Here is a 12,107-nt window from a genome sequence, read left to right on the forward strand (position 1 = left end):
CCGGCTAATTTTTTTGTATTTTTAGTAGAGACGGGGTTTCACCGTTTTAGCCGGGATGGTCTCGATCTCCTGACCTCGTGATCCGCCCGCCTCGGCCTCCCAAAGTGCTGGGATTACAGGCGTGAGCCACCGCGCCCGGCCCTTTTTTACTACTTTTAATGACTTTCAGAACCACTACTAGCTGTTTCCATAATGGCAAGCAAATCGGTGCAGTGAGATATTGGGTAAAACATCATAACATCTAAACCATTTTTCTTATATTATATCTTGGTCTTTGTGACCACCCAATTCTCAGTCCTCACCATTCTTTCTAATCATAGTGTTTGGTAGAGACTTGGATCCAAGAAACATTGGTCTGGATTTGATCTGGTTCTCTCATTTTGAGGCTACAAACCACAAAGTATTTTTTGAGGGAAAAAATTTCATTTCCATGTCCAGCAAAATACTACGTGAGTTTACACACTAATTTGGCTCGACCTAATTTTCAAAAGATATATAAAATAGGAAGCTAGTGTTATTCATCTTGTTTGCTAATCACTGTGTAGGTCTAATACTTTTTCTTCATTATTCAGTGAATTAGTGAAGAGCCAGCATCAGAACAGAGAAACTCTACCCTCAAATAGATATATTTATAAAAATGTATTTGTAAACCAATTTTCTTTATCTTCTTTCTTATAATTAGCAGGCTATTCTACTTGACCCTGGCAAAATATTTTAATTAGGCTATCCATGTCTATTTCAATAAACTTGATTTTTTTTGACATTTCAAACATAACCTTGTGTCATTCATGCCTGCCTCCTACTATTTTAAATGTATAGCATGTTCCAGCTGCAGAAATTACCATGGTTACTTGTTATGCCAATAGTGAACTGCAGTTGGCATTTGAAAGTATTGTGCTATCTTGCCTCTGCATTGAAAATGACATCGATATCTCAATAATCTCAATATTACAAATTAACACGGAAACCTGGAGAAATGTGACTGAGACAATTATTGGTCACAGTGTAAGAAGTTCTTAGCTGAAATATATTTTAGGGTCTTTTGGGGATGCATTATATTCATGTTGTCTAAGAGCTCATTTTAATGCCAATGTGATTTTATTTTATTAACAGTATTGTTGAATAATTAAAATCTTAACCCCTCCTTTTCTTTATGTACTCTTCTTTAGAAATGCATAGAAGTTCAATACTTCTTTGGCTGGAAAATGATTCATATTTAATGTGAAATGATTAACAGAGAACACAAAAAGTATGGTTTGCTAAAGGTACTCTTGTGTCCAAGGATGGTATCCAGGATTAAGTTGATTGGATCAGAGCCCTTAATTCTCTGCTGACCAGTTGAAGCTTTATTAAGGAAGGTTCTAGTTAATAAATAGTTTTCTTCTAAGTTACTATTTAACCACTCCTGCTTCAGAAAAGTGCTTTAAAAATTCTTGGTGTCATTTTTCCATGCCTCTCACAGATCTCTTAACTTTATTTGTTCAAAAGACTTTGTCCTGCAAATCACCTAGTAGAAGAACTCAGAACAATGATACATACTGCAGTATGGAGTCTGGGCTTACCTGCACTGGTGCCTGCACCAGACGTGAGGTCTCCACCCATCAGACCACCTATGGATTAAAGAGGAAGATCAAAACGAGAAAGGCTAAAGGCCCACAGAACAAAACACTTTACCTTCAGCAACCTCAGTATTTTGTCCTCTTGCAATAGTCATAAACTTGTAAAGTACAACCCAAGTCAGATGGCTGACATTTGTTTTATTGTGCCATGCTGTGCTCAAACGTTAAAAATACATTCAATCACTGACATTTTGCAGAATCTTTTTTCTAAGAAAGTTACATTTAAAAAAATCCAGTCTTTGGTCTCTGCATTTTTATTATTTCTAAGTCTAGGTTTTCCCTAAGCAGATGTTTTATAGAAAGTGAAAGAAAGAGTAAGGTCTACTATATGCTCAGATGACCTCACATTTGATGTTTAGTTCTTTGTAAATATGTTTTATGCCATTAATTTTGTGCAATGTTAATTGTCCAGAAATTTGATCGTTTCATGAATCTACCCACATTTACTACTAAAATCTTATTGACTGACACAATATAACAAATTTTTCACCGGCCACAGATTAAGAAACATATGCTTATTCATTGCTAACTTTAGACAGTATGTTAAAATTTGGCAATGTTTATTTATGAGAGTCAAGATGTTTCAATAAGGTATTGAACATAAAAATTACTTTTAGTTTTGGGCCTGGCGCGGTGGCTCATGCCTGTAATCCCAGCACTTTGGGAGGCCCAGGTGGGCGGATCACGAGGTCAGGAGATAGAGACCATCCTGGCTAACACGGTGAAACCCTGTCTCTACTAAAAATACAAAAAATTAGCCGGGCGTGGTGGCGGGTGCCTGTGGTCCCAGCTACTCGGGAGGCTGAGGCAGGAGAATGGCGTGAACCTGGGAGGCAGAGCTTGCAGTGAGCCGAGATGGTGCCACTGCACTCCAGCCTGGGCAACACAGCGAGACTCCGTCTCAAAAAAAAAAAAATTACTTTTAGTTTTGAAAAAAACAACATTCAGCCAAAAGAATAATAGTGAGAATATCATCTAGATTTTCTAATTGCCTCTAAGTGATACTCTGTAATTATTAGTTGGTTCAGGTTTTGGAATTAAAAGAAAATGTTTGTTTATATATATACATATATATACACGATTTTTTTTTTTTTTTGAGACAGAGCTTGCTCTGTTGCCCAGGCTGGAGTATAGTGGCAGTAATATGGCTCACTGCAGCCTCAACCTCCCAGGCTCAAGTGGTCCTCCCACCCCAGCCTCTCGAGTAGCCGGGACCACATACACAAGCCACTGTACCTAGTTAATTTAAAAAAAAAATGTTTGTAGAGATGGGGTTTCTCTATGTTGCCCAGGCTGGTCTTGAATTCCTGGGCTCAAGCAATCCTCCCACCTCAGCCTCCTAAAGTGTTGAGATTACAGGCGTGACCCACTGCATCTGGCCTTCGTTACAGTTTAAGCAAATGTTTATTATTTCCAATCAGATAATATTTTGGAAATACCGTATCAAATTCAAAAAAATGAGCATGAGTTTATCAAATAGGAAAGTGAACTGCATTCTAGTATGATCTGAAAGGAATACATGTGGTTACTGAAAATTCATACGAAAATTTTCAAATATATTCAAAAGTCAAGAGAATGGCTCAATGAAGTCCTTTGTATACATTTCCCAGACTCAAGATTAAAATTTTTTATTTGGATGAATTTAACTGTATTTTCTATATAAAGCTTCTGTAACAAAAATAGTAATACATGTTTGGTTTTAATTGTAAGGCAGATATATAAGTATTCTACAGGAAAATTCCTCCATGAATAAACTATTTTCATACAGCTATGTGTATGTAGGATACATTAAAAATTTCCTATAGAGTACTTTTAAAAATATGAAATGCAAATATATAATGGTTTGCTGTATGTGACTTAGAAATACAATTATTTTTGATGCTGCTTCTGGAAACATAAAGGAATAATTTTGTTATATTCAATACGCATTGACTTGGTTCCTACTGTTAGTTTAGCAAATCAAGAGAACATTCTTCCCTTAAATGTTCTTTAAATCCAGTATCAAAATAGACATATATTAAATACAATTCATCATAATGTATTTTGATTGTTCTAAGTACTAAGAATGGATGAACTTTTTCTGAGAAATAATTTATTTTTCTCTTGGACACTGTGAATTGAACAACAGCAAGTAAAAGTGCAGAGACAAATTTGTGGCAGGTGTACATGTGTTTAATTAACTTCATTTCTGATTCAGCTTTGTTTTTATTTCACATGTCTTACAAATGATGCTATCTTATCATATTTCCTTTCTGCCTAAGTCCTTTGTGGGATAAGTTACTGTATAAATAAAAAAAAATTGACCCAAATAATAAATAACTAAATGGGATAAATACTATCACAGAACACAGGGGAAGGTTTCACAGAAGTGGTAGCTTGGCCAGGAGGAAGAGGGAAAATGGCATTTTAGGCAGGGAGGACGAGCAGAAGTAAAAGTGTGGAGAAAGGATATCTGACATCCTGTTTGAGAGTATGTGGTTAAAATATAGCCACAGGAGGAGATAGGTGACAGAATGAAAAAGATAAACGGCAGATTATGAAAGATTTCGAAAAACATACTAAAGAATTTAGGCTCTATCATGCAGGAGACCTAGCTCGGGGGTGGATGGTAAGCCATGAAGGAGAGTAAGTGGAAAACCAGAAAACATCTCGTAGATAAAGCAGTGTTGGCTTTGCCGAAAATGGTTCCTTCCAACTATTTGTTAGCATTACATCCTTATGAGGACATACCTGTGTTACCTGCACTTGGAGGTCGATGTGTTACACCAGGAGACATACTATTCCTCTGCAGAGAAGGGTGAGCCAGTGGCAATAGGTTGGGGTTTCCCAGTGAGCTGACAGGGTTGCTGTACACCAAACTGTTGTGGCTGGACACTGGGATGGAGACTGGCATCTCGAAGTTGGGAGGTGGAACAGCCTGCAGGAACAGAAAACAAAACAAAGGTAAAAGAAAAGAATTAATAACAGAAGCTCTTCAAGACAGACAGCCCTTATTTTTCCAAGAAAAATTCTACATTCCAAACTACTTTGTGTCTAGAAGACCATTAAGAAGAGCTCTCAAGACGTTCAGATCATAAATTGATTTCTTAAATGTGCTTAGAACTCCTTCTTTGCAACCATTAAAAAATGTTTCACTTTTGTTTAAAACAAAGCCCCATTTCATTAGACTCCATTGTCTTTGGATTCCATTCTATTAAGTAGTAATTGTTCATTTGTGATATCTGAATCTGGTGCCAGAAATGACTGCAAGATCAAAGGTGCCTGATTGTGATGACTTCACAGAGAAAAAGGATTAAAATGCAAACCGAAGCCTTTGATTTAATTGCTTATTGAAGCATATTTATGTAGAAGTTTAATGATAGAAAATCATCTCCAAGCATGTGCATAGCACATATACCTTAATTATCATTTTTTAAAGTCTATGTTTTAAAAGTAACTCTAAAGATAATAGGCATTTTAACATACAAGATTCAACAGAGCATGTATCATTCAATAATTCACATTTTGAAGTGGCAATTCAGAAAACACTATGCTTCATATTTTGGTGTGTACCGCCACTGACAAATGGCAAGACCTGTATCTCAATTGTGAAAGTTGGCAAATATTTAGTGAACTGAAGCTGTGTGGATGTCTAATTAGATTAATCCAGGTTTCAATGATTGATTTTTGAGTAATTATTTTGTCAATTTAAGCAAAATCATGTTTATGTTTCTGCTGTACTAACTAGATGAACATAGGAACATAATTGTAGCTACTTTTTTTTAAGCATTACGAGTAAAAATACTCTTTGAATATAATGCCAGAGAACTCATATGGTATCAAAACATATGGCATTCTTAATATAAAATGGACATATATATGGAATAGGATTTATAGAAGGCATTAAGGCATTCCCTTGGGGGTTCTCAATAAGTTATTGTGCAAATTTAAATGCATATGTGCTTGAGGCTCAGTTGGTTGTTTTTTTTGGTCCCATTTTGTTTTTACTATTGTTTGCCCTTAGTGCTGACATCCACTTTCTGTTACTGTTTGGTTGGCTGGCCTGCATCATACATCTTTCTGTGTAATATTTCTCTGTTTATCTTGGTGATGATCACAATACTTTTCTTTGTTTATGTTTATGCTCCCTTATTATTAATTTCCCATTTTTCTTTTCTTCCATGTTCTGGACATGTCAATCTTGACAACAGCAAATGCTTTACATTCAAAACTCTTTTCTTTCACACATCTTTGATTTTTCATTTGTATTTTATTTCATATTTACTTTTATTATTATATTATTATTTTTAGACACAGTCTCACTCTGTTGCTTAGGCTGGAGTGCAGTGGTGCCATCTCTGCTCACTGCAACCTCTGCCTATCTGGTTCAAGTGATTCTGCTGCCTCTGCCTCCCAAGCAGTGGTTGGCATGTGCCACCACGCCCAGCTATTTTTTTGTATTTTTAGTAGAGATGGGGTTTTGCCATGTTGCCCAGGCTGGTCTTGAACTCCTGAGCGCAGGTGATCCGCCCACCTCGGCCTCCCAAAGTACTGGGATTATAGGTGTGAGCTACCACATCTGGCCCAATCTGTCATTGTTTTAGAGGGAAATAAAAATGTTCAAGTGATATAAGTAATATGGTCAGTCTTTATTAGGATTTATCTACAGTAAACAGGGGAAATAATTTTTGGATAGACATCATGACATAATGGAATATAAATGTTTGATAAGACATCAAATAATGAATTTAGCCTTACATGTCCAGCCCCCTTTTAACAACAAAAAATCAGCATATGCTGTAAAGTCGAAGTCTATAGCATGAATAAAATATTGTATTTCTTCATTAAAAGGCCAAATAAGGATTGCTCTAGCATACCCAAGAAAACAAAGTAAAGTGATTCTACTAGGTATATTCTCCACTTGCTCCATCCAGACCCACCCTCTAGCCCCTTCACTGTACTGTGTGCCCAGGAGCTGACCCTCCAGACTGCATCAACCAGGCTCTCCTGCCCTCTGGCTTCCCACTGGTCAGTGGGGGAGGCACCAGCAACAGCACAGAGAGCAGGAGGGGAGCAAAGTCAGGGTATTTTTTTATAGTGGCATCATCCTTGCTGGGCCACAGGCTGGCTGAGGCTGCGTTTCTCTAGCGAAGACCCCATCTCTTTTTGAGTTGTTCTCTCCTATACACATAGATCTTGCTGTGATCTGGTACTTTTCCCCTCCACTTACTCTTTCAGATCTAGAGATAGGAACAGCTTCTAGGTTGCAAGCCCTAATGTACTTCATTATTCTCTCAGGTTTTCCTTAACTCTACCCATCTGTAAACAGTCCTTTTAACAAACTGTCTTCAATTACCCTTTAGAGTTTGCCATCTGTTTCCTGCTGCAACCTTGGGCCATAATAGTAACTCTCTAGATCTAGAACACTGGTACTCTACAGGGGTGGGACTGTCTCCTTAGGGAGCATTTTGGAAATCTGTTGGACTATCTTTGGGTATCAAAATGACTGGAGGGTGTGACTATTACACTGGCTCAAGCAGTGCCATCTCTTGCCTAGATAACTGCAGTCACGTCCTAACAGATTTACCTGCTCCGGTCCTTGCCATCCTTTATATTTTCAAACCAGAAATTAGATTGACCCTTTAAAAGCTTAAGTCATGCCAACACTCCTCTGCTCAAAACCCTGTGAGGGCTCTCATCTTAGAATAAAAACTCAAGATGAGAATTTTTTTCTTCCAAGGGTCCACAGGCCCTATTAAGCTCTAGCTTTTGCCAACCTCCGTTATCTCATCGCCTAACACCTTCTGCCTCCCTGCCTCATTTCCATGACGAACTGCATCACCTCCTTCAAGTCTCTGCTCAAAATCTGGCCTTCTCTTGGAAGCCCACGCTGACCACCCTATTTAATCCTGCAATTTGTCCTGCCCCTTGCCCATATCCTGATCTCTTTCTCCTGCTCTTCTTTCTCCTTGGTTATAAAATCATTTATGATGTTGGTTAAATAGTGCCCTTTTGCTGTGAGGCAATGCAGAGCCTACTCTACTTCTTATTATACGAACTTAATATTTTTCTTCAAAGGAGAATTTTTAGGAAGACACTCTACTGACACAAAAGTAAAGCTTCTATTTACTGTATATTACTTATTGAGCAGGCACTGTGCTGTATAGTTGACATACATGATATGATTTAACCTTTTAAACATCCCTTGACCATAGATATAATTCTTTCCTTTTCAAATTGGTAAGTTAAGTAAGTGACCCAAAGTCATCTAACTAGTGACTGAGTCTGTTGCTTTTGCTACCAAACACTATGCAACACAGTATAAGTTTTTGGATAGAAATAAAATACTGTAGTCAGAAATCATTCTGTTAAGTGAATAAGGGCTAGATATTAGCAGTTTATTATCTTTGGACCATGTAAATAATAAACTAAATGGGTTCTCATGAAATGTGGGTGAGTATCTACACTGGAGTGTCTCAGGTTTTAGGAAAAAATAAATCTTAAAGACTCCCCTTTTCCATATTTGCTTAGAGTTTGTATTTAAAGCCATCTCTGGGCTACAAATGTTTTAATTTGAATTCACTGTTACTACTTATAAATGTTTAACTGTTAATAGGTATCTAAGGATCTGCTATAAAACTATATCTTCCCTGAATATGCTATAGAATGTTGGTTGTGTCTCATTAGAGAGCAAAGCCCATATCCCCTCACCCTTGGGTGATTATATGCACATCCAAAATAAAGAGGATTATTAATAATTATGTAATGAGTTCAGAACCATCCAAACAAGCAGGTCAGTGAAAGTCATTCTACTCCTTCCTTCCTCTGACTATTATCCCCAAGAATTAATTCTTCAGCTTCTAGAATTCTGGATCAGAAACAACTGGATGATAATGATTATTATAAAACTACTTTGTGATTGGCTAAGCAGTCAAATATAATTATGGTATCAGAGTATAGTTGAAAATTTCAAAATTCATAAAATATACCAAGATCATTTGTATTCTATTAATCTTTTGCTTTACCTGTATCAAGAACTACCTATAATAATTTTTTAAAATTTAATTTTATTTTAGATACATGTGCATGTTTGTTACATGGATATATTGCATACTGGTGGGGACTGGATTTCTAGTGTACCCATTACCCAAATAGTGAACATTGTACCTAAGAGCTAATTTTTCAAACTTCACCCCGCCCTGCTACCTTCCCCCCTTTTGGAGTCCCCAGTGTCTATTATTTCCATCTTTATGTCCATGTGTACCCATTGTTTAGCTCCCACTTCTAAGTGAGAACATACGGTATTAGATTTTCTGTTTCTGAGTTAAAGGAACTATCTATAATAATTTTGAAAGCAAATTATAAGCTTAAAAATGAGCACACTGAGAAGATATTTTAGAGAATCAGAATAAACACTAGCCTTTCTATCAGGAATCTCAGTTACAGTCCAGGTTATGTAATAAATTGCCATCTAACCAGGCAGGTCATTTAATCTCCCTTGACCTTGATTTTCTTATCTAAGGCATGAAATGGTTGTATCTATGAAGAGATGAAGCTGCTCTAAACATTTTAGGGAATGCAAATGCTATAATCACATATAAATATTTCTAAGAAATTGGCATTATTCTTTTTCTCCTTGACTTTTCAAAATTAGGAAACTTGAAAGCATCTACATTTAAACAATTTTTTTTTTTTGTCTAAAAAATGAAAGCCAAAAAGTAGTTAAAAACACCAAACTTGCAAAGACTTCAGGGCCAGGCTCCAACTTTTACAAACACTCAAGATAGGAAGAAAGAGAGAATTTGGGGTGATTAAATGAAATGCTGTCAGCAGAACTGGCTATGTAATTTGCAGGGCCCAGTGCAAAATGAAAATGTGGGGGCCCTTTTTAAAAAAGTATTAAGAACTTCAAGACAATGACAGCAGAGTATTTAACCAAGTGCAGCCCTATGAGAACAGGGCCAAGTCGAGGGCCCATGAAGCCGGTCCCAGCTTTGAAGGACACAGACATGACAGCTAAAAAACTTTTAGTTTCTATCCCTGAACAAAGTGATCACGGTTACTGTAGTGAGTCATAATCAGAAAAGTATCTGAACTCTCATCCAAAACCCACTATTTTCCCAAACTTACCACAAGGAAAAGTCCAATAAAAAAATCAAATAAAATAGTTAAAGTAAAATATTTTTAGTTAATGGGCCCTCTTTTATTTAATGTGAGTGATTGAACTGAATCTTCCCCCCACCCTTTTTTTGCCACTAATGACACCTTTAAATTTTGATTAACCATTACCAGCTGCTGGGCTGTAGTAGAGGAAAAAAAAAATCATACAACTCTGATGACTTGTGAGTACCAATGCTGGTTATCTAAATTCCCTCAAGGCTGCCTGACAAGTCTATCATGGACTTGTTCATTCCCTCTCCAACTCCTATTCCTCATGATGTCTAACTTCTCGGTCCTTTTTCAATCACCTGCTTCCCCCTTCCCTAATTAACTACAGAAGCTAAACTAAATACATTAAAAAACAAAATAGCCAGGCATGGAGGCTCACACCTGTGATACCAGCACTTTGGGAGGCCGAGACGGGCGGATCACTTGAGGTCAGGAGTTCCAGAACAGCCTGGCCAACATGGTGAAACTCCATCTCTACTAAAAATACAAAAACTAGCCAGACCTGGTGGCAGGCACCTGTAGTCCCAGCTACTTGGGAGGCTAAGGCAGGAGAATCACTTGAACATGGGAGGCGGAGGTTGAGGGGAGCCAGGATCACGCCGTTGCACTCCATCCTGAGGCACGGGGTGAGACCCCGTCTCAAAAAATAAAAAATAAAAATAAAATAAAATAGAGGTCATTATATGGTCACCTACTCAGCGTAATTCTACCCAGCTACCACCTTAGCTACACCTGGCTCCATCTGTAACACCTTCTTGTTTAGGTCCCATCCTCCTTCCCTTCCTTGAGAGGCTTTGCCATTCTATCTCCATTGTACCTGTATGTTCAATCTTTTCCTTCCTCCAAGCACTTCTCCTCTGCATGTAAATAATCTCAAGCGCTTTCATTTTAACTCCTCCCTTGATCCTACATACAACATTATTTCTCTCTCTTCACAGCCCATTATTTTGAAGAAAATACATACTGTTTCTTTCCACTTCCTCCCTTCCCTTTTACTCTCAACCAACTTGCACCCGCCTCTCATTCATTCAGCCCCTTTCCTAACTTCTGCTGGTTCCTCAGACGGAGGTGTTTTCTCTTGCTGTGAAGCCCAGCATGAACCATGGCGAACCCAGCATGAGGAAATGCTGCTCGACACAGTTCCAAATCACCCATGAATTATTTTATGTAATTGAGGAATATGGGCATAAATTACAATATACTAACAGGTGACTGCAATATTAAATTTTCTGTTTTAAAAGGGAAACTCTTCAAACTGGGTCTTCGAAATAGAAAAACAGTCTTGTAATGTTTTTAAAGAGGTGGAGACACTCTCTACATACAAAGGGCAGAGTGTCCTTGCCCTGCTGTAAATGTTTTAGCAGCTGTGGAAACTTTCAACAAAATTGACTTCCAGCAACTCAGAGCGATGTGCAAAAACTGGGCTTTTCATCGTGAAGACTGAAGCACTTACTAAAGAGATGGAGACTCTGTGGCATAGCTCGGAGCTGGGTGGCTCCTTCTCACAGCTCTGCCCGTAAACTCTAATGTGGTTTTTCAGCCCCTACCACACACCACTGCACCCCTTAAGAAATCACGTATCTTGATCTTGAACTCTTTACGTAACAGGCTGAAATCCTGTGAGGGAATACAGGTGTGTATTACATGTCTCTCTCCCTAAAGTATGAGAAACAAGATCCAATGTGCATTCTTCCAGAACTTTAGGGGTTAAAACTCCACCTATATGATCGCTTCCATTGAGTGATCAGCAGTACTGCATACATCTGTCTTTATTCCAACTGTGCAGGGGATTCTTACTATCTGACACACCTAAGGTACTCCGCCTTAACATCCTACACTTACAAACCTTAATGCACAGCTGCTCCACACCAATGTATTATATAGCAAGATAAACTCAGATCATAAGAACTAAAAATTGGCCCAAATGGCGTGGCGCAGTGGCTCACGCCTGTAATCCCAGCACCTTGGGAGGCCCAGGCGGGTGGATCACCTAAGGTCAGGAGTTTGAGACCAGCCTGACCAACATGGAGAAATTCCATCTCTACTAAAAATACAAAATTAGCCGGGAGTGGTGGCACATGCTTGTAATCCTAGCTATTCGGGAGGCTGAGGCAGGAGAATTGCTTGAACCCGGGAAGCAGAGGTTGCGGTGAGTGGAGATCGTGCCATTGCACTCCAGCCTGGGCAACAAGAGTGAAACTCCGTCTCAAAAATAAAAATAGATAAATAAAAATAAAAATTGGCCCAAATGAGCCGCTTCTTTTTTTCTTCTAGGCAAAATAAAATACCAATGGATATTTTATTATTTAATAATTCTGGACATAACAAGTATGCATGGCT

At 38.1% G+C, this 12,107-nt stretch overlaps 1 protein-coding gene across 79 annotated transcripts in view; it reads right to left on the bottom strand.

Annotated features, from left to right (window-relative positions):
* MEF2C (myocyte enhancer factor 2C) overlaps positions 1 to 12,107 on the bottom strand; it is a 186,989-nt gene that overhangs the window by 30,391 nt on the left and 144,491 nt on the right. For all 79 annotated transcript variants that reach the window (XM_011543396.4, XM_017009478.3, XM_047417190.1 and 76 more), the window contains 2 exons: positions 4,350 to 4,536; positions 1,563 to 1,610 (listed from right to left, as the gene is read on the bottom strand). In XM_011543396.4, coding sequence (XP_011541698.1) covers positions 1,563 to 1,610; positions 4,350 to 4,536 — 235 coding nt within the window. The remainder of the gene's footprint in view (positions 1 to 1,562; positions 1,611 to 4,349; positions 4,537 to 12,107) is intronic.

The sequence above is a fragment of the Homo sapiens genome, chromosome 5, assembly GCF_000001405.40.
Source record: "Homo sapiens chromosome 5, GRCh38.p14 Primary Assembly".
Classification (NCBI taxonomy): domain Eukaryota; kingdom Metazoa; phylum Chordata; class Mammalia; order Primates; family Hominidae; genus Homo; species Homo sapiens.